Source organism: Homo sapiens, chromosome 16 (genome assembly GCF_000001405.40).
Source record: "Homo sapiens chromosome 16, GRCh38.p14 Primary Assembly".
In the NCBI taxonomy this organism is placed as follows: Eukaryota; Metazoa; Chordata; class Mammalia; order Primates; family Hominidae; genus Homo; species Homo sapiens.
The window spans coordinates 72,263,430-72,289,511 of record NC_000016.10 but is presented as its reverse complement, the minus strand read 5'-3'; the positions used below and the strand labels follow the sequence as shown (position 1 = coordinate 72,289,511).

The window sequence follows — 26,082 nt, the reverse complement described above, 5'->3', positions numbered from 1 at the left end:
GCTGAGCTTGGAATCATCTAGTTCCATCTAAGTCTCTCCACTACCAAAAACCCTCACTACAACTTTAGCCTGGGTCTGTAAAGAAATATTCTAGCATTTGGTCCATCCAGAGTACCAGCTCAGGCTGACTGGGTAACTCTTAATGTTAGTACATTACTTATTCTCAGTTATTTTGTGAGGCCTGAGAATAATTTTTGAAACAGTAACAAGAAAAACTAGTTTCTGATAAAATAACGAGCCTTCCTTATTTTGAGCTTTCCTTTGATGCTTGCCACCTCCCTCCCATTATGGCTTTTTGCCCACCATTGAAAAGGCCAGTGTCCTCAATTTGTGCCCAGCTGGAAAGAGAACATTGAGCTGAACAGTGCAAAGAAGCAAAGAAATCACACTGAGATGATATTTTCCTTTATGAGACATTGGAACAATCATAACAGAGAGAATGTCTTATGAGCTGATCATCAGTTTTAAATATGGAAAATGTTTCTTGCTTTGGAGCCGTCATTATGCCCTTATATATTTGATGTCACTGACAGAGCAAGTGAGAGATTTGTCCCATATAAATAACATATTTAACAGAAAGAGAGAAAAGAAAAAAGTATGATTGCTTCCTAAATCCTGATATCATACCAGGAGTCCTACACATTTGGGAAGAAGTTGTATTCTTTTTGAGATGGGGGTCTCGCTCTGTTGCCCAGGCTGGAGTACAGTGGCATGATCATAGCTCACAGCAATCTCAACATCCTAGGCTCAAGCACTCCTCCCCTCTCAGCTTCCTGAGTAGATGGGACTACAGAGGTGCACCCCCAAACCCAGGTAATTTTTTTATTTTTTATTTTTTTATTTTTTTTAGAGGTAGAGTCTCACTATGTTGCCTAGGCTGGTCTCAAATTCCTAGCCTCAAGTGATCCTCCCACCTTGGCCTCCCAAAGTGCTGGAGTTACAGGTATGAGCCACCATGCCCAGCCTAAAGTTGCATTCTTGATCTGAATGCATGGTTTTTATCCTCCTCTAGTTTATTCTCTTTTTTTTTTCCACAACGCTTTGCTATTTTTGCATGACACTTTTCTTTATGTCTTTAATCATTTTAAGCATACTTATTTGCAGTTTCTACCAGATTGTTCTGTCACCTGAAGTTCTCAAAGGTATAAATCTGCTATTTGCTTTATCTACATTCACTCTTGGTCTTTAGTTTGTAATGTGTGGGTACATCCTCAACAGGGCTTTATTTACAGGAATTCTAGGTGCCCTCTGTGAAAATGTGGCTCTCCAGAGCATTTTGGGTTTGCTCCTGCCAAATGCCACAGGGATATTCCTGGCCTGAGACTAAGTTTGATTTTAATTTTTCAGCTTAGAGGTTTCTCAATTTGGTAGATAGTAACTATAAATCCCCTTACCTTGTAAAGCATAGTCACAGATTCTCAAAGGACACTTGTTTCCTTCCTATGCACCATGAAAAGACAAGCATTGTTGTGACAATAGATGGATTTTTTGCCCCTTAGGCCATCTTTTTAAGGGTCTAGTTTTATGTGAGGATTCAGTTTCCCCTTGCTAATTTTCATGGACCCTTGTCCCCATGTGAGTACTAAAACCTAATCCCTGTAGTCACTGAGCCTGAGCAGTGCTCCTCAAGGCAGATACACATCCCACAGCTTACTGATTTTGTTTCAGTTCCCTCTTTGGACCTGGCATTTGGGGAGTTTTCTACTTGCAAGCTTAGCCCTATACTTAATGTGTGTTCCATTTTATTCAAAATATCTTAACTTTCTGGTGGAAGGGTTTTTGAGTTATCTGGCATAGCCACCATATGGCTGGAGATAGAACTACCAATTCATTCTTCAGGCTTGCAGCCAAAGAGACCTGTCTAAAATATAAGATTTTGTCACCAGCCTTGCATAAAACTCTTGAATGGCTCCCCATTGATCTTAGGACAGACACTGAAATCTATAATCTATAAGGCCTTGAATGGTTGGGTCCATACCTGTTTCTCCAGTCTCACGTTGCATCATATCCTTCTCATTCTCTGTGTTCTACTCATACTGGGGTTTTTTGGTTTCTGGAATGTACCTTACTCCTCCTTACCATATCAACTTCCCACATTCTGTTCCTTCTTAGTGGAACACCCCTGTGTTCTCTCAGGACTCACCCTTCATATCTCAACATAATTGCATCATGACAGTTGTCTAGGTTGAGTTTCCTCTGGCTCATGTGTTTGTTTCCTCAGATACCTATCCTTTATTATACTTATCACAATTGTGTTTTTACTTTTATTTTTGTAGTTATTTTATTAATGTCTCTTTCACCCACTGGGCTTCAGGCTCTGTGAAGGCAGGGGCTACATCTGTTTTTGCTTTGTGTTTTTGTTAGTCAGTAAAAGTAACATTAGCTTCTACACTCACACTAACATAAACAATCCTAAAATCTCAGCTGTTTAACAACATTAAAATTGGATTCCTTTCACCATAGTCCAAAGTGGATCAGGGCACTCTTCTCCAACTGGATCCCCAAAGACCCAGGTTGCACGCCCATCTTCAGCATGTCACCGTCAAGAGTCACATTGGAAGGGAGGAGAAGGAAGGGCCATGAGGAAGGTTTCTATGAGCCAGGCCAGGCATGCATCTCTCCCACCTACATTCCATTGGCCAGAGCTCAGTCATAAGGCCCCATTGTAAAAGAGCTGGGAAATACAGATTATCTGTGAGCCTGGGAAGAAGAGGAGAAAATGATTATCAGCAGGCATTCAAGTCTCTGCCACACCATCTTATTTTTAGCAAAGAATAGTTCCTGGTAATAGGAAGTTCTTGATAAGCACAAATTGAATGTATCAATGAATAGATGGCTGGCTGGGTGGTTGGGTGGGTGGGTGGGTGGATGGATGGTTTTGCTATCAATGAATGGCTCATTATTCATTTAGTCTGTAAACTCTTTAAATACAATGGCCATAATGACCATATCTTTAAGTATAATGACCATATGTTAAGTATAATGACCATATCTTTAAGTATATTGACCATACCATATTGTTCATTATGATATCCCCACTGCTAGAGAAGTTTTTGGCACAAGTAGAAGCTCACGCAGGAATGAATAATTACCACTGCTTGGGAGATTTCATGAAGGAGATGGAGTGCTAGGGGGTCCTTAAAGAAGGGTATGAAAAGAAATTAGGAGGGCAACTTAAGAAATAAATTTGTAAAGACATGGGATGGATAGGGGAAAAAGTAGAAAAAATGATGAAAGGTTAGTGTTCCTATAGCTGAGGGTAACAAAGGAGGGAATCAATGGCGAGTGTGCCTATAGCTGAGAGTAACAAAGGTGGGAATCAATGGCAAGAATGAAGAACCTTACAGAGGTAATATTTCACCTGGCTAGTGTTATTTGAACACCATGTCTGCTAAGTTGAAAATTCCTTCATTTTCTCTTTCGATGTATGATAGCCTTACACCTAGGAATAAGGTTGTCTCTTCAGTGAAACAACGTCTTTCCCTCTCCCTTCTTGACCCTTACTGACTAAAATGAGTACTATGTGCACAGTAAGTGTGTATTTGGATTGGCCGGAAGTTGGTATTGTGAAAGTCACTTTGCCTCTGACCACGCAGAATGGAAAACCACAGTAGTTCCAGCCCCAGCTGTCAGGCCAGGATTTCGCCCTAGCCCTTTTCCAATCAATAGTTAGAAATGCCTGGTGCCATCAGGAGGGAGCCGCATTTTAAAAAAATGAATAAAGTAGGACAGCCAAAATCTTTACATTCTTTATGCTCTTCTCTGCAGCTTTCTGCCCAGGGATGGAGACTACTCTGATAGCTGCAGATGGGCAGCCTGAAGGTGCCATACTCCCCTGCCCTGAGAAGGGGATCGGGGATACAAAAAGTAGCCAGTCCTACAATACAGGCTTCCGAAATGCACTATCGGAGTTAGTGACAAGGGAGCCGCTCTACCTCTGGGGCTACAGCAGTGCAGGGAGCTTTAGGGGATCAATACTTTAGTCTTGTCATGCTAATTGCTCATTGGTTGACATTCATGATCCTTCCTTGCTCCCTCCCTATGTAAACTCTTTACAGCTGGAATAGCGAGATGCAAGAATCCCAAGCCTTCAAAGCCAGCTCCTGCAGAAGAGAGAGGGCCTGGCAGCTGAGGTATGGTGTGCCCCCATTTTCTTGCTCCCCTTTAAAGAGCTTCATGTGTGTCTGTATGTGGTGGTGTGATAGGGAGACGCACGAAGAAATGCCTCAGGAACTCTCCTGCGACACGTAAATGGTATTATCTTTTCAGAACAAAACAATATCTCTTCCTCTTCCACCCCCGCCCCCCCAAAAAAAACCCCAGAAAACAAAAATATCCACCGGTTCTATGAGTTTGGTTGCAGCCCTTCTTCTGTTTTGGTGAATGTGTCACCCTCCACCAGTTCACAATGAACATGTACCTGCACTGTCCTCTTTGCTGTCAGACTAGGGCATGTCAGACCAAGCTGCCGAGAGAGAGAGAGAGAGAGAGAGAGAGAGAGAGAGAGAGAGAGAGAGAGAGAGAATATGTGTGTGTGTGTGATCACGCCTACCATATTGGCTTCCTGTCCCTGGAACATCAGGTTTTCTAGCTGGCTGAGCCTGTCCCCACACTCATTGTTGCCACTGAGACCATCCCAATTCCTACCCTGTATGCTCCAGGCCTGTGCTATGCAGGGTTTTGTTAAGCCGGTTAGTATTAATTGATTTTTTTTTCCATTTTTTTCTTTCTTTCCCTGGGCGGGTCAATAGCTGGATGCTTCAGGAGCAGAGGATCTATCAACTGCAGACCAAGCACAGGGAGACGCAGGCAAACCTGGAACAGTAACCCAGCCAGCTCCAATTGCTCCGACAGTACTTGGTGGCCAGAGAGTCGGCAGCAGAAAGCATGCCCCGGGCCGTGAAGCAGGAAATCGACTCTGACTCAATCCTTGAGGTCTGGTAAGTTTCTTTACTTTTGGAAAGTAAGGCAAATGTTAACCAAGTCTTTATTTCTTGCTCAAGAGAGTCAGCAGTATCTGGGCCGATTTCAGTGAGTGAGCTAAAGATCAAAATTGGAATGCTCCAGCAGATCTGGAAGGATGGAGGGGTTGGAGGAAGGAGTAGGGGCTTGCGGTATAGACAAGGGCTAACCAAACTGCGATCTTAAGGTGAGCCACTGCAGCCAAGCAGATGTCCTGTGTATCGATCCCTGCATCCTGTTATTGATTTCCTCTTGGGGCCAAGAATGGGGTGGACCTATGCAGGACAAGAGGGGAACTGACACCCCCCCAGAGGGCCAAGTAGCCCTAATCGGTGATAACAGTGTTAAGTGGTCAGCCTGGAGATGAGGTTTGCTTAGATCTATTGATCTGCACTCCCCTGGGATATAAATCCTTCTGAATTTGCTTCCATGGATATAAATATTTATAATTAAAATAGCGTAGGAGCTTCTTACAGACACAGAGAGAGTGGCCCATCCCAGGGTAAGGCTTGATACCAATCTCTTTCGTCTCCGTACTTGGTACACTCTTCTCACTGTCTTGCATCTGTTTATACATCTCTGTTCTCTGTTTTGAACCCTATTTTGCTCAGCCTCTGAGTGACAGGCACAATATCTCAGACTATCAGAAGCCGGAAAAAATCCATTCTTTCTGAATGCAGCCTCCAGCTGAGGAGGGAGTGATGATCCCCCAGCCAAGGCTACACAGTTTCATGTGCATTCAGGAGCCTGGACTCAGAAAGGATTGGGCTATTTGGGGGGCAATGAGGGAAGACGTTTTTAGTTGTTGCTTTGTTTTTGCTTTGACTGGGGCATCCGTTTGGATCCAGTAACAAACAAGCTTTGTAGAACAAACATGTTAGCCAATGCTAAGATCCTGTGTTGGCTCACTTGCAGTATTACATCTGGGAGTACAACTTGAAGGGCCCCACACTCTTGTTTCTCAGCACCTCATAAATCTAAGCCCACGTGAAGTGAACAGAGCATCCCTTCTTCAAGAGAATGGAAAAAGAAAGGATGCTGAGGAGGAACTGTTGGGGGCAGAGCCCTTGAAGCCAGCTGGCAAGACTGAGACCACTGATCAATGCTTTGCCCACTGAAAGGACAACCTTATAAAGAATTGGAACCATTAAGCTTTAATTTTTAGAAATTTGGATGCTAGAGGGAATGGTCTTTAGGGACCGCTGCGGTCCCTAAACCCATCATCTGCTCTGGTGCCAGGATACAAATCTGTTCGCCCTGAATCCTTCATCTGCTTGGATGTCCAGGATACAATCTTTTCAGTTTGGGAACTTCTGACTGTTTTTCTCAGGTGTCTGCCTTGCTTCAATGCTTATATCTTGAACATTGTGTCTTTACGTGTCTGCCTTCGGCAGGTTTCATTAATTTGTAATTTATGCCTACAAAATTGTTTAAGCACTTCTGGATCTTACACTGGTCAAGGGTGTGTATTAGTGGGTGTGTGTGCACTATACAGACTGTGGGGCAGAATCTACTGGGTTTTGTTTTTCCTGATTTTAAAATGTTTAGTCATTCTGATCCATACGTGTGAGTTAATAAGTGTGTGTCTCTGTATCTTGGTGCAAGTGTCTGTACTCGGGAAGCAGTGAACACAAGCAGTTTAGAATAGTATTCCACATTTCTCTACCATTTGCATTAACTGTGTCTTTCCAAAATGCATATTCAGCTTCATTTTTTTTTTTTATTCAGAGGTGGTAGTTTTCAAACTCAAATCTAGCTCATTTGTCTCTTTTAGCACATGATTGAGGATTAGGGACTATTCTAACTGGCAGTCAAGGGTCAGTATTTTGGACTCCATTTGGCTTAGATAATTTATATAGAATAAAAGTCTAACAGGTATAATCACAATAGCCTTGGCTTAATAATTTTCCAAGCATACTTGAAGTTGAAAAACACTTCAAACTAAAATTGGAAGAATGTTCTGGTTAGTAAGTTGTATGCTTCTGTAATAATGGAGAGAATTGGAATGCAGTTCTCTTTGTTTGATTTATATGGCAACACCAAGAATGTGAGACGTGTGTTTTACTGTAGAAATAAACTTTCAACATTGACCTAGAGAACAGAAGACTCAGGTTGGTACTTAAATCCTGCTCTGCTAGGTTATAATGAAAAGCATCTTAATAAGAATAGATTTTTTAGGAAGAAAAATCTTAAGATTCATGTCTTTCTCTCATTGTTTGCAATATTTGTCAACATTTGCTTGCATGATTCCTACGAAGAACAAGCTTATTTGGAGAAAGTGATCTAAATTTTAGAATTGAATGTACTCCACTAATTAAATGTGTATGTCCTTGTGATCTTAGTGCCACTAAATCTAAATAGCACATACGTAAATTCACTGCTGTCTTATGCTACAAGTCATATTTGAAAGCTTGTTGCCAGCCCTAAGAAAGTGATTTTATTATGGAGTTATCTAATGGCTTCAGATAACACGTTTCATTGTCTACAGTCTTGTAAGAATTTAACTCTTATGTTATAGATATTTCATATGCTACATTTACATTTTATATTTTATACATATAGAGATCTTTAAAATTCTATCTGTCTAAAAGGTTTCCTCTTCAATGTATTTTATAATACAATGATAGAAAATTTCACTTTATTTCTATATTCAAAACATAAAGTGTTATAATATTGATATTTCACCTTTATTTCCATTTTAATAACATGTATTATGTTTCAAACCTTTCTAAGCATCTTGACATACTCATTTGATCTTTAGAGCAATTTACAAGATAAGTTAGAGCAGAAGTCATTATCTTCATTTTACCAATAATAAAACATGCACAAGGTGACACAGATATTAGTGTCAGACTTGAAGCTGTGGCCTGAAGCTAAGGACTCCTGGTCAAGTACTCTTTCCACAGCTACTGCTGCTTCTGTTAATGTTTGATAACTTTTTAGCATACTCTGTATTTCCAGTACCTATTATAACCATTACAATGCATGTAACGCAAATGTTGGTTGCTCTTAGACGATCCTTAGCATTCTAACCACATAAGAAAAAGTAGCAAATAAGTATTTCAGGCATCTTTCTTGGGCTTTTATCACAGCACAACCTGCTGCAGAGTCTGATGTCATGATGGACCTTTATTGTCAGCTTCAGAAATTCTGGGTGAGCTATTAATATGCTTAATGATTTTGCTCCCCAGCAACATGTTCCTATGAAAACATGGTGAGTATATATTACTCACTATGTTTCACAAAACAATTGTGTACATATTTTGTCTTCATACCTATCAACATTTGCCTTAAAGACACATTATGTATAATTTGAAACATCCATGAGGCTTTTCCTTTTCCTGGAATAACTAGCACCCCTTCTCCAACCTCTTCCCCATTCAGGGGTTCTTGACCTTCACTGTGTTATGGACCCCACTGCCAATCTGCCATAGACCTAAAGCCTATGGACCTTTCTTAGTATAATGCTTTTAAATATATAAAATAAAGAATAAAGCATGTAGAATTACAAAGAAATTCAATTTATATTGAAATTCAGCTATCAAAATATTAAAATCAATTAAATATTAACACCAATATTTGGTATGATAATATGGATAGTTTCTATTAATGCATTAATAAAGCCCAGTGGTTGGTGTACTACTATAATTTTAAAGCAGTGATGAGCATAAGGGATATTTTGAAATATCTACAGTATCTGATATGTAGCTATGGTTTCTATTGGTGACATTGTCACTAACGTTAATATTACGGTAGTTTATTTTCTACATTTATTTTTTTCACTTTTACATCCATTATATTTAATTTGATTCTTACAACAACCTTGTGCGGTAGGCAAGATGTGAAGTCAATACTTTATAGACAAAGAAGCTGAAGCGTAGCAGGAGCTTAACTGATGAGATCCATTTTCTCTTCCATCAAGCATCTTCTTGTGTATTGTCTTAATCCAAATCCTTGACAGAAATGCTGAAGAGGACCTCTGTAGGCTAGGTTGATCCTGAATTCTCAAATAGCACTGACTGGTACGCAGTTTAACCAAGTCAGTTTCACCTAAAAGTGTGATTATCCAACCCACATGTTGCCATTCTGTTAAAAAGGATGGTACAAAAGACAGTCACAGTCACCTGGCTTACTGACATAAATATTAATATTAATCCAATAAGTAAAAAGCACATGAGAATTGGCTGCCACAGAAAGAAAAATTTCGACCTGTATCTACCAAGAAACTATCTTACCAACTAAAGAAGCCAAATCTGTCTCTCTTTCAAAACCCTCATGGGGCCATGTTTTATTATAATGGTTTGTCACAGGTCCTAACCCATACTGTATTTGATTATATACATGTCTCATAATTAAGTCATTCCTCTTTATCACACCCAGCACTTAGTCCACTGCTGCCCATGTAGGAGGCACTCAAATTGGTAAAAGAGAAATCTATTCAAGCGAATATTCTTCCAATATTATCTGGCCCCCCTCCAAAAGCAAACTTGTGACTAGAAGAGGCACCAGTCATTGCCACATTCCTACTAACACGACTGATTTAAATGCCCTTGTAATTGACTTGGTCATAGTTTCCAACAGGTGCAAAGGCTTTTGCTAGTTAAACCAGTTTTCATTGGATCATTTTGTTTTATATGTGTGTTTTGACCAAAAACAAAGATACGTTCTCTAACAACAGGGAGAGGATACATGCAATAGGAATATGTCTATAAAATGATGGTCTATCAATAAGGAAAATAAGTGATTAATAAAACAAAACATCCGACTGTAAGTCTACCCAAAGAAAGGAAAAAGGACTCACAAACAAGAATATAGTGCTTTACCATTTACATATCTTTCACATACATTCTCATTTGACCCTCACAACAGCCCTGTGAGGTAGGCATCACGGATATTCTTCTCATTAACCAGATGGAGACAGTAAATCTCAGAGCAGTTCACTGATATGCCCAAGGCTCTACAGTTAGTGAGTGATTTGTATTAACATCAGTCTTTGGCCTAAAAATTCAGCACCCAACTTCCCCTCATACTTGCCCACACCTACTTCACAGGGATAATGAAGATAAAATGAATTCAGGGCTACAAAAATACTTTGAGGGAAACAAGCACTGTATAATTATACCTACAAACTATGATTTTCCACAATATATGGCTCATTCCTCTTCTTATCCCAGCTTGTGTGTGAACTCAGAGTTGTATATTGCCTCTGTTCTGTGCTCAATAAGCAAATAAGGCAGGCAGGGGGTACAGTGTGATCCTGTTTAAAGTTGCATAAATTACAATCAGGGTAACTGCTGTTATTAGGCAAATTGAAAAACAGCATAGAAAAGTCAGTGTGTAAGTAGGACCCACTAAAGCTCAGAGCAAAGCAATGCAAGATTATCAAACAAGGCATGATTGCACAGAAGGAAAATGTGGTATCAGAGTTCAAACTGGCACACACACACAATTATCTAAGGCAAAGTGGTGGCAAAGAAGAGTTATTTGTTCCATGTTACACAAACAAGAGCAGAAGATTCATGGGAACCTGTACAAAAGCATCTTGTGTCACACAGATCTCTCCAGCTGCCTATAGGGAATGTACACAACAGTATATCACCTTCAAAGAATGACTGTACCTATGTTCATATCCTGAACTACACCAAGGAATAGCTCCATGCTAAACTGCCTTGGCTAAAACACAACCAGTGCCATCATTCCTAATCAGACTAATGAACAGAATGGCTTTTAAGGTAAGGAGTTAGATGGCTATGTTTAGGGTGTTTTCAGGATTTACTTTGGATTCTCCTGCTTTAAAATCCAAAGAAAGTTATATTGAGTTTTTATTGATGATTCTATGTGTTTATAACAGAGTGTGGTAGGTGAATTAAACATATTAAAAGAGTTCTATAGCATCTGTTTGGAAAAGATTATATATTATACAAAGTATTCAAGTGATACAAAACCATTTTTCAGTGTCTTTTCAACTGAGAAGAATCCTATTCAGCATACTTCTCCTCCTGAGGTGGTTCATACTGAGCAAGCTTTGCTTTCAGTTTTTTATTTTTTTCTACAATAGCTTTATATTTCTCTTTCGTTTTCGCCAGTTCTAGGCACAGCAGCTCTATTTCTGGATTTTCTGGGGTAGCAGTTCCTAAGTGATGCTTTAAGAAATCCAAAGCACTGTTAGGTTTCTCTGGTTCTTCATACCAACACCTTGGTCAGTGTGTCCAGCACCCCTGACTTCTCCAAGTACCTCCGGAACTGCTCACGCTTCAAGTTGGCGGCTTTGTAATGGGCCATAGTGACAGCGACAGCAGCGTAGCTGGCCTGTTTTCTACATTTATAATAGAAGGAAATGCTAAACTGTAGCTCAGTATTAATGAAAATAAAGGTGGATTTTTTTTCCCATCTAACATTCATAAACACATTGAACCCTATCCTTGGCTATCAGTGGATGACAGGTTAAGAACCCCTACTCTAGCTAGTTCCTACTTACTTTCAAAACTATATCATTTCTTCTAAAGAACTTCACCAACCTCCCCCTAGATACAGTTAGCTGCCACTCTTCTGTGCCCCAAGAGCACTCCACAACCTCTCCAGCCTAACACTTACCACTGGCTCTGCTTCAATGTACTCGTTTTTCCCTCCTATAGGAGCACACATTCCTGAGGCATGGGCCGTGGCTTGTGAGACTTTATATTACCACCATGTAGCCCAGTATCTGGCATATAGCAGGGCTCACTAGATATTCAAAGGGAGGAGGAAGGAAAATTCAAAGATAAGGGAGCCATAGATCATAGACTATGATCTTTAAAACAGAAAATTAAAGTTAGTAGCTTGAAGGTTTCCTTGAGTCAAATTTCCTATCAATGGGATCTTCATATTTCAAGGAGTAGAGATGACCATGTGCACCTGTTCTACTTCTCTTTCAGCGCAGCTCTCAATTTACAGCCTCCTAAGAAATCACAATCCGGCACTACCGATCTAATAATAATAATATCCCAATTTCAGACCTCTTTATTTTAGGTTCTCATTAGTACAGATGAGGAAAAGGGGCAGCAGAGACATGAAGATAAAGGGCTTTCTTCACACCCTGAGCTTTTTTAGGGCTTTATCTTTCAAATTTTTTTATACTTTTTAAGTTCTTGGATTCATGTGCAGAACGTGCAGGTTTGTTACATAGGTATACATGTACCATGGTGGCTTGCTGCACCCATCAACCCATCATCTAGGTTATCATTCAAATGTTAAAAGCCAGGAAAAATGATTTAATTTTAAGGCACGTACAAAATGTATATGTTCTCCCTAGAACTCTATGTATTTGAAAATGATTGTTAATATTTCCTTAAAAAATAGAACACTAGTAATAAAAGCCTCCTAAGTCCTCAGCACAGATGCTTTATGTAGAATAAGCATAGATGCTTGTGCACAGCAAGGTACACTTTCAGACGTAACTCAACTTCTTCCTATTAATGTCACATAAACATTGGGACTTATTCATGCATATTCACTTAATTTTGTATGCATCCCTTCTTTCCCAATAATAAATACTTGCCATTCCTACTCAAATGAATGGACATTCACATATCAATGTGAGGCTGCATATTTCTTGGGTACAAGTTGATTTTTGATCTACAATGAACTTGTTTATTATAGGAGGAAGAAAGTAGAGATCCACATGGAGATAAAATTGGAAAAAATTTATAGCCATTTTTATTGTCTAATAGCAGTCTTCTATTCAATGTTCTAATGTATGAGTACAGGTTGAACCAAGTCTGTGATTAGCATTTCAGTGGCATTCAATAAACCCCTACAGACTATCCTATTGAAATATACTAGTCACCCTCACATATTTAAGTTACTAAATTGAATCTGATTTAATATAAAGTTCTAAGATCTTGACTTGAATAAAGTTTATTTCACCTCATCATTTAATAAGACACTGACCCATTCTCACTGCATGTATTCTGTAAGTGATATCTTATCAGGGTCCTTGGTAAGTAACCAAGGAGCAGATGCTAAAATAGCCTTGTGGGCCTTGGTTCAGCATTCACCACCCTTTACCTACTGAGCAGCAAGTTGAAAAGCAGTATTCTGAGTCCTCCTTCCCACTAACTTTCCTAAGTGGAGTGTTGGTTGTACACAGAGGAAAAGCTGGACAATGTTTATGATGACAGATGAGAAGTTACTTGCATTGGAACTGTGGGTCAAGGAATTGATCTCAAAGAAGTAGTCTATATTTGAGCCTCTACATCTTTTGAAAGGAAGCCCCACAGCACCATAACTGATATTCCTGTACTTAGGCTTCTAAAGGTACACAACTTATTGCATGCTCTTTTACCTGCTACATACCTGCATCTCTGACTTTATCATTCTTTTCTTATGTTATGTTATTCCTTTCATTCCTGCTGTCTCTCCTCTTTTGAAAACATCTTATATTTTGAATTAGCTATTACCCTAAATTTACTGATTTGGTATATAACATTTGAGCTCTTCAGAAAAAGAATCTACCCAAAACTAAAAGTTTAGAAGTGTGTTTATAAGGCAAGCAAATTGATCTAATACATATAGAGAAACATTTGCTAAGATTTTTTTGCAAATAAATGTAGTCATTCATAGTAGATATGATATTAGTATTACAGCAATAATTTTATACTTATTATCACCCTTAATTTACATAATACAGTACACATCTTTCCCAGGCAGAAAGGGAAATAGGACACTGGAAAACAATTCAAACAAGCAGAACAGGAAAGACAGTTTAAATACTGTATTATAGTTCTTAACAAAACTTATTTTAAAAGAAAATAAGGCCTGGGAAAGTGTTTTGAGAATTATCACTTGAAGTAAAGAGATTGTATTAAAGCCATTTGTTTGCAAATTTAACAGTCAGTAGACATTTTCAATAATCCACATTTTAGAGATTACTTGAAAACCTTAAATACTTTCTAAACAGAAAGAAAGGTGTTACCAGTAATTATCATCTATTAAAATATAACCCCTGTGTCTAATAGTATAATGAATCAGATGTGAAGAGGGAAAAACTGAAAGGATGGAAAGGATAATGGAGCCAAGAGCAGGAGGCAGCTTTGGGGATGGATAAAGGACAAATCATTCCAGACAAATATGATCACTGTTTTAAATCGCATTATGAGATTAATGGATGAAGGGAATGCACTAGAGGTAATATATATGGATTTTACTGAAGCATTTGATACACTACTCCATGAATTTCCACTTGCAAAATTAATTCAAATTGGGTAGAATATGTGCATGGTCACATAGATTGAAAATTGGCTTAAGGACCATAAACAAAGAGCAGTGACAAATATCGGTCCCTCACATTTAGGTGGGAGACAGTGTCCACTGCATTCGTGAGGACCCATGCCCACTTTGGCATCACACAACCACTTCACTAATGATCTGGGGCAAGGAAAATGAAAGTACAGAATTCCCAAATCTTGGCATGGGAAGTATCACAAACCAAGGCACAGTTAGAGCACAAAAAGAGTTAATAATAGTAGAGAATAAAATCAAATATAAGCAATACTTAACCTCTTCTAATGACTGAAAGAAGAACAAAGAATTACTAGAAAAAATTGTTACATACAATTTTCATTTTAATTGTTAAAACACTAATTGGGGAAAGTGCTCTGAAAGTCATGCTGTCAGCTGGGCACAGTGGCTCATGCCTGTAATCCCAGCACTTTGGAAGGCTGAGATGGGAGGATTGCTTGAGCCCGGAAGTCCAAGACCAGCCTGGGCAATATGGCAAAACCCTGTCTCTACAAAAATACAAAAATCAGATGGACATGGTTATGTGCGCCTATAGCTCAGCTGCTTGGGAGGCTGAGGCAGGAGGAAGGCTTGTGCCTAGGAAGCAGATGTTGCAGCAAGCCAAGATCGTGACATTGCACTCCAGCTTGGGTGACAGAGTGAGACTCTGTCCCCCCCAACCAAAAAAAGTCATGCTGTCATTAAATAGGGTTGTTCTTCATTTAGTTAGAATCTGAGGCCAGGCATAGTGGCTCATGCCTGTAATCCCAGCACTTTGGGAGGCCTAGGCAAGAGGATTGCTTGAACACAGGAGCTCAAGACCAGCATGGGCAACATAGCAAGACCCCTCATCTCTACAAAAAAAAAAAAGTTTTTAATTAAAAAAAAAAAAAGAGGCCAGGCATGTTGGCTCACGCCGGTAATCCCAGCACTTTGGGAGGCCGAGGCGAGTGGAACATCTGAGGTCAGGAGTTCAAGCCCAGCCTGACTAACATGGTAAAACCCTGTCTCTACTAGAAACACAAAAAATTAGCCAGATGTGGGGGCAGGCGCCTGTAATCCCAGCTACTCAGGAGGCTGAGGCAGGAGAATTGCTTGAACCTGTGAGGCGGAGGTTGCAGTGAGCCAAGATCTTGCCACTGCACTCCGGCCTGGGCAACAGAGCAAGACTCCGTCTCAAAAAAAAAAAAAAAAAAAAAAAACTGAAATGCTGTGCTCCTGTGTTGCTCCAAAATTTTAATTCATCCAAAGAAACTCAGAAATGCTGAAGGAGCAAAGAGAATTGATTTATAAAGAAAGAATTTAATGTCTACTTAAGTGAGTAACTATTGAGGTATCAGTAATTTCCCCAAATATGTGATGAAAACAGGGCAAATAATCATCTTATGTGAATCTTGGCTTATTATAGGAATCTTTCTGATGAAAAGTCTCCAAATACCATTTTGATAACTGCCAGGTCAAACTTAATATTGTTTCTGATTTTTTTGTTAGAATTATTGAAATCATATAAAATTTAATTGTTTAGAAGCAACATGAGCTCTTAAAAAGTGGATGGGTAAAATATGATTTTCCTTTTACAGAGAGCAGGATCTTATTTATGATCAAAGCTATTTCATATTCACCATCTCATCCATTCCTCATGGCCACCTTGTGAGGGAGGTATCATCATCCCTGAATTATAGATGTGGAAACTGAGGCTCAGTGGGGACAAATCCTTACCCAAGACTATACCTTTAGTAATGTCAGAGTTACTAAGCCCAAATTTTGTGGACATCTAGTCTTGGAGTCTTTCCACTAAGCAACACTGTTTCTCATGTCTATGCCATGAAAGAGACTGTCTCAGAAGCCATGTACCAGACTTTAACTGTTCATTTTGTGCTGAATTAGATAATGTAATGGAAAGGGCCTAGCGTAGAATCTGGGACAGAGAAGGCACTTAATAATGTTTAGCTCATTTGCTTTTACCCTATTTACAATTTCTTCATTCCACATTTATTTATTTATTTATTTATTTATTTATTTTTTTTTTTTTTTTTGAGACGGAGTCTCGCTCTGTCGCCCAGGCTGGAGTGCAGTGGCGCGATCTCGGCTCACTGCAAGCTCCGCCTCCCAGGTTCACGCCATTCTCCTGCCTCAGCCTCCCGAGTAGCTGGGACTACAGGCGCCCGCCACCACGCCCGGCTAATTTTTTGTATTTTTAGTAGAGACGGGGTTTCACCTTGTTAGCCAGGATGGTCTCGATCTCCTGACCTCGTGATCCGCCCGCCTCGGCCTCCCAAAGTGCTGGGATTACAGGCGTGAGCCACCGCGCCCGGCCTCATTCCACATTTATTAAGCACCTAAGTAAGAAATGCTGGGCATTGCCCAGCAGGTCAATCATCTTAGCTCTTTTTAAGTTCAGGTCTCCCAAGTGAGACCTGAGGCCCCATGGGAGAAGACCCCTGTGTCTGCCTGTTCACTGCAGTGTCCTCAACACCTAGCACATACTCAATGAAGACTTTCTGAGTTACAGAGAAAACATCTCACCTTATCCCTCCAAAGTTCTTGTGAGCTCTGGCCAGGCTAAAGCCTCATGTGCTCACTTCATACAGCATCAGATAAATGACCAGCAACTCCCTGCACCCACTAAATTCCTGGATGGGGCCATTAGGAAGCTAGTTGGCTTCACTTGTCAAGGTATTGGTTTGGTTTGGTTTTGTCTTGTTTTGTTTTGTTCTTTTCTTTCAACAAAGCATCCCTGGAACCTGATAACAAGTTAAGGGCCATGCTAAAGCGCTTGACTGCTTTGCTTAATGTAGGGGATGGGTCTTCTGCTTCCCCTGTGCCTATTCTTGAACCTCTCCCAAAAAATTCTGTAGAGGAGCAGTAAGAGCACATGACTTTATAGCTTTTGAACAGTCTTTCCTGCAAATTTGGAAGGAGACTAGAGTAGGGAAGGCCCAGATGATGGAAAAGCTTGGAGCTTCTTTAGTGACTAGGCCAAATCTAAGGACAGGTGACGGAGCATGTAGCTCAGGTAGTGATGCACAACATAGAGATTCCCCATTGCCAGAGAAAAGACCTGCCCATAACACAAAAACAAATGTGTGCATTCTGCCTGGGAATATTTTACACCACAGATATTTCCACCCACAATTGAATTAGTCATGTTATTTTCAAAAAGTACTTTTGTCATTTCCACCCCTCTTCTGCATTAGGCTTATTGCAGTTGGGTGAGTGCACCTGAAGTCTTCAGTGAAGTGTCAGGTGTAATTTAGCACTGGGAGATGAATTATGGGATTGCCCTTTAGGAAAAGGCTGGGAGCTCAGCCCTGCCTGTCAAATAGGTCCCTGCCTTATAGTGAACTCTGCAGGTGAATGAATCAGTATTTGGCATATCAGCATTTCATTGAGCCTCCATGCTAATGTCTTTTTGAAATGAAACCGAGAAAGCTGTTAACCTCAGTTAGCCGGGTGTCCCCTCTGTGACCGGGATAAATCATCAATGTAGAGGCTGAAAACTCTGTTCTTACTGCTTTGGGGAATGAGAGCCAGGGCTGTGGGGAAGCTGATGGAAGGGGACTCCAAATCTCAGAAAACTAAATCAGGATTTTTATCTTCCTTAAAAGGAGAAATAAATATTACTTCTCCTTGCCTCCTGTTTTAGCTGATCTAAAAGGATTTTGGAGAATTTTATTCAATTAGATAGCATATCCTTACTTATCCTTTTTTCCAAGCCTTTGATCTCTCATATATATATATATATATATATAGATAGATAGATAGATAGATAGATATAAATATATAGATATAGATATATATGTATGCATGAACATATATATATATATATATGTTCATATACATACATACATAAATTCCTGGGATGTCTCACAACTGAAAACCTGGTCTTAACTGCCTGAGTAGCTACAGTCAGCCAACTAGAAATTCTCCACCATTTGTTTTTGTTTTGTTTTGTTTTGTTGAGAAAGAGTCTCACTCGATCACCCAGCCTGGAGTGCAGTGCTGCAATCTCAGCTCACTGCAACCTCTACCCCCTGGGTTCAAGAGATTCTTCTGCCTCAGCCTCCCCAGTAGCTGAGATTACAGGCATGTCCCACCATGCCTGGCTAATTTTTGTATTTTTAGTAAAGACAGGGTTTCACCATATTGGTCAGGCTCGTCTCGAACTCCTGACCTCAAGTGATCTGCCCATCTCAGCCTCCCAAAGTGCTGGGATTACAGGTGTGAGCCACCATGTCCAGCCTCCATGACTTCTTGAATATTTTTCCAAAGCTCGGATTCAAACAACATCTACATGAAATCTTCACGTCAACCTTGTGAAGCAGGAGTCATTATTTCTGATCTTCCATTTGAAAACACCAGGGTGCAGAGAAGTTTCAGGAGTGGCCAAACTCAGGGTCAAACCCAGAGCTTCTGCTTCATTTGTCTGTTCCTCAGTCGGTAGCTGCTGTGCAACCACTGTGGCCAGATGCAATGCCAGGCACCAGAAATCTTTCCCCTAACAATCCAGTGCAAACAGAAGGTTTATGACCTGGGCTTGCAGGCTGTTTTTTGCCTTGAAGGCTCTGGACTACTTCCTCCTGCAGCTGTCCCAAAGGGAAGGCTGTTTGATTACTACTTACATCTTCAGCCTTTGGTATTTACAATCATTTGTACACTTGCTATTTATAGCTCCAATGTGCATGTTATTCCCTTTTTCACTTTGCCTGCCTGAGCTTTCTGAACTGGAAAAGGAGTAGATGAATGAAGTTAGGGCCCATGATTTTGAGTGTTCAAGAGGAACACGGGGCAAGATGCTAGAAGGATTCTCAATCAGCAGGAAAACAAACTAGGTTAAGTAAGCTGCAAGGTTTTTAGAACAATTATAGATTCATGATAAAATTTATTCTCTAAAACTTAAATCCCAGAAAAAAAATTGAAAAGCACAAATTATGAAAAGGGCCATAGACAGCCTATAAACATGTAAGTGTCATGCTTGGAAAAGGAGATTTCTTGCTTGCTGCTTTTATTCTTTGGTTGGAGGGAGGAGCAATCAGAGTGGGGATGAAACTGGCTGGTAAGGACAGAGTTCAAACGTTGATAGAATGCATGACACAAAGGTTTGAGGACCAGTAGGAAAGTCCAACTGCATCATTTTACAAAGGTGAAAACTGAAGCTCAAAAATGTCAGCCAGTTTCTCCAAGGCCACAAAGCTTGTTAAATTGAAGAATTAGGACGTGAGTACAGATCTTCTGGTGCCAAGTCAGTGTTCTTTATGACATCTGAGGTGGTCTAGTTGAGTTTCCTTCCTTTGTTAAAAGTCCTGAGTGGCAATCCCAAAGGAAAGAGCAGAAAATGACCATCCAGTGCTACTCCGTTTTAAAAGAATACAACCTTTATTTCCAGGCCTGTTTTCACTTTTGTTTACCCACACCCAGGTCCCGCCCACCTACTCCCACGAAATCACATCCTCTGCTAGCCTTCTCTTATCTCCCCAGAAAAATTTAACCATGTCTTCATTCACACTACATCTATAACTTTAAACATACCTCTATACTTGCATTTGTCCTTCATGTTGTAATTTATTTGTTCATGGGTCTCTTGTTCCTATAGATTGTGAATTTCATGAGAACCCATTCACCTTAGCACTTCCTCATATCTAGCATTGTAATTGGAAAATGGCAGGAACCCCATAAAAGTTGGTTGAATTGAATATCATCTGCTCTCCAGCAAACTGAAGTGGTCAGGCAATTCTATCTGAGTTTCATATAATCTGGCAATGACAAAGATCTATTGTCTTGGGCTTCATGTTGAAGTTTGAAGGCTCATTATGGCTTTTTCTCATCCCCTTAGCCTGTTTAAGGACTGATCAGGGCCAGGCACAGTGGCTCACACCTGTAATCCCAGCACTTTGGGGAAGTGAAGTGGGAAAATAATTTGGGCCCAGGAGTTTGAGTCTGCAATGAGCTATGATTGCATCACTGCACTTCAGCCTGGGTGACAAAACAAGACCCTGTCTGAAAAAAAAAAAAACAAAACACTGATCAGGATAGAGAGAAATTTGTAAGTGTTTTCTTGTACTTGTGACTAACTATACTTGTGCAAATAAGTGATCTGGAGACCCTCAAAATGTACTTTCTCCTTGTGAAGCCACTGAAATGGCATTACATTAGTTTTACTTCTTATTCTTTAATGAAAATGAATCAAAACTTTGTGGCAATTTTGCACTCTTTTTATATTTCCAGAAGCAGATCTATAGACAGAGCCAGACACCACTCCTCAAACAGCAGAGAGATGTAAGGAAGTACAGCTATTTGACTTCACCCTTAAAGGATTTACACTGATCGTGGAAGATGGTTTTCTTGTGAACCCACCCAAAGGAAAATTCTGAATCCACCTAAAGGAAATTTCTGGTTTTTCCAAATTGAACATCAAAATTAAATGCAGGGAAATTTAGTGTTTTGCATGCCCAAATATTCATTGGTTCCTCAGCATGTTAGTGGGATCAAATCAGAAGAGGTTCCCAATTAAACATTTAAAAAATGCATTCACACAAATCAAAACTACAATGAGATATCATCTCACCCCAGTTAAAATGGCTTCTATCCAAAAGACAGGCAATAACACATGCTGGCAAGAATATGGAGAAAAGAGAACCCTCATACACTGTTAGTGGGAATGTAAATTAGTACAACCACTGTGGAAAACAGTTTGAAGTTTCCTCAAAAAGCTAAAAATAGAACTACCATACAACCCAGCAATCCCACTCCTAGGTTTATACTCAAAGGAAATCAGTATATCAAAGATATCTGTACACCCATGTTTATGGCAGTACTATTCACAATAGCCAAGATTTGGAAGCAACCTGAGTGTCCATCAACAGACAAATGGAAAGAAAATGTGGTACATATACACAATGGAGTACTATTCAGCCATAAAAAAGAATGAGATCCAGTAATTTGAAACATGGATGGAACTGAAGGTCATTACATTAAGTGAAATAAACCAGGCACAAAAAGACAAACTTTGCATGTTCTCAATTGTTTGTGAGAGCTAAAAATTGAACAATTGAACTCATGGAGATAGAGAGTAAAAGGATGATGACCAGAGGCTATGAAGGGTAGTGGGGAGGGTGGGAGAGAAGTGGGGATAGCTAATGGGTACAAACAAAATTGTTAGAAAGAATGAATAAGACCTAGTATTTGCTAGCACAACAGGGTGACTATAGTAAAAAATAATTGCACCTTTTAAAATACCTAAAAGAATATAATTGGGTTGTTTGTAACACAAATGATGAATGCTTGAGGTGATAGATACCCCATTTACCCTGATGTGATTATTACACATTGCATGTCTGTATCAAAATATCTTATGTACTCCATGAATATATACACTTACTATGTACCCACAACTTAAAAAAAAATATTTTTAATGCATTCACAATACATTAAGATTTTTGAAACTGGCTTGGTCTTTCTCTGTTCCATATCAAAAAAAGAAACTGCAATTCATTCACATTTCCACCAGTGACAGGGAACTTACAAAATATTCCATGGAAATAGGAGATAGGAATAACATAATAACTTAAATCCACAAATAACTCCCAATCCAATGTTAGCTAATAATTCCAACCCCTACTCACCCTTCCTTTTATCAGAGCTGCCTTAACAAAGACAGAAGATGTGACAGATCGAGCTGCATCTCCTCGGATTTCCTTGGCATCACTTGAACATGCAAGGGCCAAAAGAAAGGAAGGAAAGGTAGGAAGGAAAATAAGAGCAAATCCACAATTCATATAGAACCAGAATCACTGAGATTTGATTATATGCACAAGACTAATAACCACCACAGGTCTCTCACCATCACCAATGGGAGAGGAAAGTGGAAGTTCTCCTTCGCTGACTCCTTTATTCTGTAAGAAGATCTATGTTGAGAGAGAAATCTCATACTATTCTCTCCACTCTCCAAACAGTATATACTGGGGAAATATTTCTCCCAGGGGAACTCTAAATTCCTTCTGATTTGGTTTTAGCTGAGGGGTTGCAATCAGTCTTCCCTAAGGATCCCTCAGGTGAAGGAGGCAAGAAGGAAAAGAAAACGGACTGACACTGTCAGATCTAGGTGGAAGCCCAGGACCTGTAGGAATTTGGAGCTATTTTCACTTTCTAAGGTGGGCTTGACTAAGATCAGGGGTTGGCAAGCTATAGCACATGGACCAACTGCCTTTCTTCATACATAAAGTTTTCCTGGAACCCAGCCACACCCACCATTTACATATTATCTGTGGCTGCTTGCACACTACAATAGCAGAGTTGAGTAATTGTGACAGAGACTGGCCCATGAAATCTAAAATATTTACTATCTGACCCTTTATAGAAAAAGTCTACTCACCTCTATTAAGATCATCAACCGGCCACCTGCGGTGGCTCACGCCTGTAATCCCAGCACTCTAGGAGGCCGAGGTGGGCAGATCACGAGGTCAGGAGATCGAGACTCTCCTGGCTAACACGGTGAAACCCCGTCTCTACTAAAAATACAAAAAATTGGCCAGGCACGGTGGCTCACGCCTGTAATCCCAGCACTTTGAGGGGCCGAGGCAGGTGGATCATGAGGTCAGGAGATCGAAACCATCCTGGCTAACACGGTGAAACCTCATCTCTACTAAAAATACAAAAAAATTAGCTGGGCATGGTGGTGGGCACCTGTAGTCCCAGCTACTCAGGAGGCTGAGGCAGGAGAATGGCTTGAACCCAGGAGGTGGAGCTTGCAGTGAGCTGAGATTGCGCCACTGCGTTCCACTCTGGGCGACAGGGAAAGACTCCGTCTCAAAAAAAAAAAAAAAAAAAGAAATACAAAAAATTATCCGGGCATGGTGGCAGGTGCCTGTAGTCCCAGTTGCTTGGGAGACTGAGGCAGGAGAATTGCTTGAACCTGGGAGGTGGAGGTTGCAGTGAGCCAAGATTGTGCCGCTGCACTCCAGCCTGCATGACAGAGCAAGACTCTGTCTCAAAAAAAAAAAAAAAAATCATCAACCTTGAGCAGAGAAGAAATGAGAAATCTGTATAAAAGCATAGACCACAATCAAGAGTTTATTATAAACTACATCTAGAGCCAGCAATTATAATAGAATGTGACACATTTGTAATAAGTATAAATTTGTCTTTTCAACTAGGTAGGACTCCATTCGGCTGCAAGGAATAGAAACAACAATAGCAGGCAACAGCTGGGGGTGGTGGTGTGTACCTGTAGTCCTATCTACTCGGGAGGCTGAGGCGGGAGGATCACTAGAACGTCAAGTGCTAATGAGCTGAATCAATGATATAGTGTCTATATCTTTCTACCTAGAAATGAGCACTTGGTCTCCTAGTGATCTTCCCTCCTCAGCCTCCCGAGTAGCTAGGACTCCAGGTATACACCACCACACCCAGCTATAGCCTAGTGAGGTGGGAGGATCACTAGGAGGTTGAGGTCACAATGAGCTATGATTGTGCCACTGCACTCCAACGTGGGTGACAGAGTGAGACCCAATCTCTCAAAAAAAAAAAAAAGGAGTAAGCTAAACAAATAGGCTCTATTTCCCTCAAATAAGTCTAGGTGGCATTGATTCAATACTCAAAAATGTCATCAAAGAACCAAGCCTTTTCCATCTATGATGTCAGAGCCAAAGATGCTGAGATTCTTGACTTTTTCTTCATATTGGTTACAAGATGAGTGCTATGGCATCAACCATGATTTGTGTGCCCAAAGAAGGAAAAAAGGTGAAGAAGTGAGAAAAATCATGCCCTCTGTGCCTATATCTTTCTACCTAGAAATGAGCAGCTTCCCCAGAAGTCCCATCCCACCCCTCTGGCAGACATCTGCTTACACCTCACAGTCAGATGAGTACCAAAGCCACCCTCACTGCCCATGCGGCTGGGAAGGCAAGTATTTACCACCCCAGCCTCTTTGTGGGAAGGCTGCAAAAGACAAGGGGTTAGGAATGGCTTTGGGCTAATCAATCAGTAGTGTCTTCCATAGATAGTTTTCCTCATTTTAGGTATGTAGGCACAGAGGGTACTATCTATGAATATTTATTAGGTGGCCAAATGTACAGGTCGTTCAGTTGATTATTATTTTATTCCATATCAAAGAAGTTATGTCCAGACAGGAACTGCAGAATCTTATCTAAAAATACTTCCAAAGATCTCTCAAGAGAACGCCATTGAAAAGAGTTGGGGACAGGGCAGGTGGATGCTCTGGGTGAATGGCAGAGCTAGGATGCCCTCAAACACAGATGATGCCTATCCTGTTTGCTCACCACATGGTTCTAATTGGATTGTCACAGGGTGGATTTATGGCTCATTTTATCTTGGAATTTATGTTGAGGCTAAAAGTGTCGACACCATTTCCTTTAGTAATGTGAACCTACCCACTTGATGTTAAATATTAAACTAGTCCCTTTAAATAAACCAATAAAATAGTAAAATAAGTTCAGAATCTGTAGGTTGACTTAGTCTCATCTACCTGTGAAAGTACAAAATAATTTCTCCATTTTCTTTTTTTTACTTACCAAGCTATTGTATTTATGGTATTATTCAATTCGTCTTTATACTGGAGAACCTCAAGAGTTGAAGATTTGTAAGTTTGAAACATGCCATGTCAGTCCTCTTAGAGGGTTAATGCCATTGTTATAGCCATGTCAGGTTCATCTCTTTATCTGTAAACTTTCTGCTTGTGGCTGGATCTCACCTCCTAGTCAGACAGCTGGAGGTCAGAAAGCGATCATAGCTTGACAGGGATTTTGTTTTAGCGGAAGTTTGTCTATGATTCTATTGGGATAATAATAACAACAACAATAATAATAAAAGGTTGCTTGTTCTTTCAGGGTTTCACAGGAAAACAGCAATTCACAAATTTACAACAGAGGGAATTTAATGCAGGGAATTACAGGGAGACCCTGAGAAGCCAATGGGAGTGGTGAGGTTAACAACAGCAGGAAACCACTACCCTCACTAGGCTGCAGAGACAAAGCGAGGAAGTGGCGTTACCAGAGCCCAGAGCCCAGGGTCATGTCATAGAAACTGGAATCATGGAAGAAGGCCTGTGTAAGAGAGCTGGAGCTACAGAGGAGACACAGCTGGGGCTGGAGCCCTATCCCGAAACAGAGTGGGAGGCAGAGATGTGCCTAATTTCTCCCTCCCACACTCCATTCTCCCTTCAGCTCCTTCCATTGCCTGAACCTATCTGGAAGCCAATTGACTTGTGAGCCTAGAAATGCAGCCTTCGGGGGATCCGATCCCAGCCACACAGAGCAGAACAGGGGAAAGTGGGGAATGGATTTGAAAGCAAACAGGCTTAGAAACAATACAGAAGTTCTATTCCTCCTCTTACCCGACTGTAGGTGAAAACATACACTTTGGCCTCTAGTCATTATTAAGTTGTGCCTCTCAGCCATGTGTGGGTTTCTTTCTAGTGTTGGTTAGAATGGTTATGTCAGCACATTAACAATCTTTATTGCATATCCAGTGGATGATAAATATTACTAGACTCTGTAGGAAATAGAAAGAAATCGAAGACAACATCACTAACTATATGTCATTTACCCTTGCACTTATAGTTAGTTGGAGGTTTTCTAAAAGAGGTAAATCCTAAAACAAGAGGTAAAAGGTTTCCTATAGAGTAGATAGGAAGAATGTTTTAGGTAGAGGAAGTACCCTAAGGAATTGTGACACACATTTTGCATGACACACAAATATCCATAACAGGAATGCGCAGTCTAGATGGGCTTGGGTGACAGAGAAGTCAGTGGAAAACTTTGGAGGTGCAACAGAGGACTTTAAATGTGATCAGTAGGGAACATGGTAAACCTTCCATGTGAAAAATGGTATTGAGCTCTGCTTGGT

General features: G+C 40.3%; 2 long non-coding RNA genes and 1 pseudogene across 2 annotated transcripts in view, besides 1 other annotated feature; 1 reads left to right on the top strand and 2 right to left on the bottom strand.

Moving 5' to 3' along the window:
* The window catches only part of LINC01572 (long intergenic non-protein coding RNA 1572), a 384,069-nt gene extending 375,459 nt beyond the window's left edge, over positions 1 to 8,610 (top strand). Inside the window, exons 12-14 of the long non-coding RNA NR_126330.2 lie at positions 4,059 to 4,133; positions 4,752 to 4,940; positions 5,878 to 8,610. This is a non-coding gene — a long non-coding RNA (long intergenic non-protein coding RNA 1572). The remainder of the gene's footprint in view (positions 1 to 4,058; positions 4,134 to 4,751; positions 4,941 to 5,877) is intronic.
* LOC124903720 (uncharacterized) lies at positions 2,621 to 22,674 on the bottom strand. The gene is made up of 3 exons (XR_007065117.1): positions 22,592 to 22,674; positions 21,843 to 21,924; positions 2,621 to 2,700 (listed from the first exon to the last, which is right to left on the bottom strand). It is a non-coding gene; the product is annotated as an uncharacterized LOC124903720 (long non-coding RNA).
* Positions 3,705 to 4,350: an enhancer, noted in NCBI's record as "OCT4-NANOG-H3K4me1 hESC enhancer chr16:72319061-72319706 (GRCh37/hg19 assembly coordinates)". NCBI's record gives its function as "activates a minimal SCP1, AML or CMV promoter by ChIP-STARR-seq in naive H9 embryonic stem cells {active_cell/tissue: H9 hESC(naive)}" and the evidence as "EXISTENCE:reporter gene assay evidence [ECO:0000049][PMID:30033119]".
* Positions 8,746 to 11,271, bottom strand: LOC390739 (MYC binding protein pseudogene; annotated as a pseudogene).
* Positions 22,675 to 26,082: the final 3,408 nt, after the last annotated feature.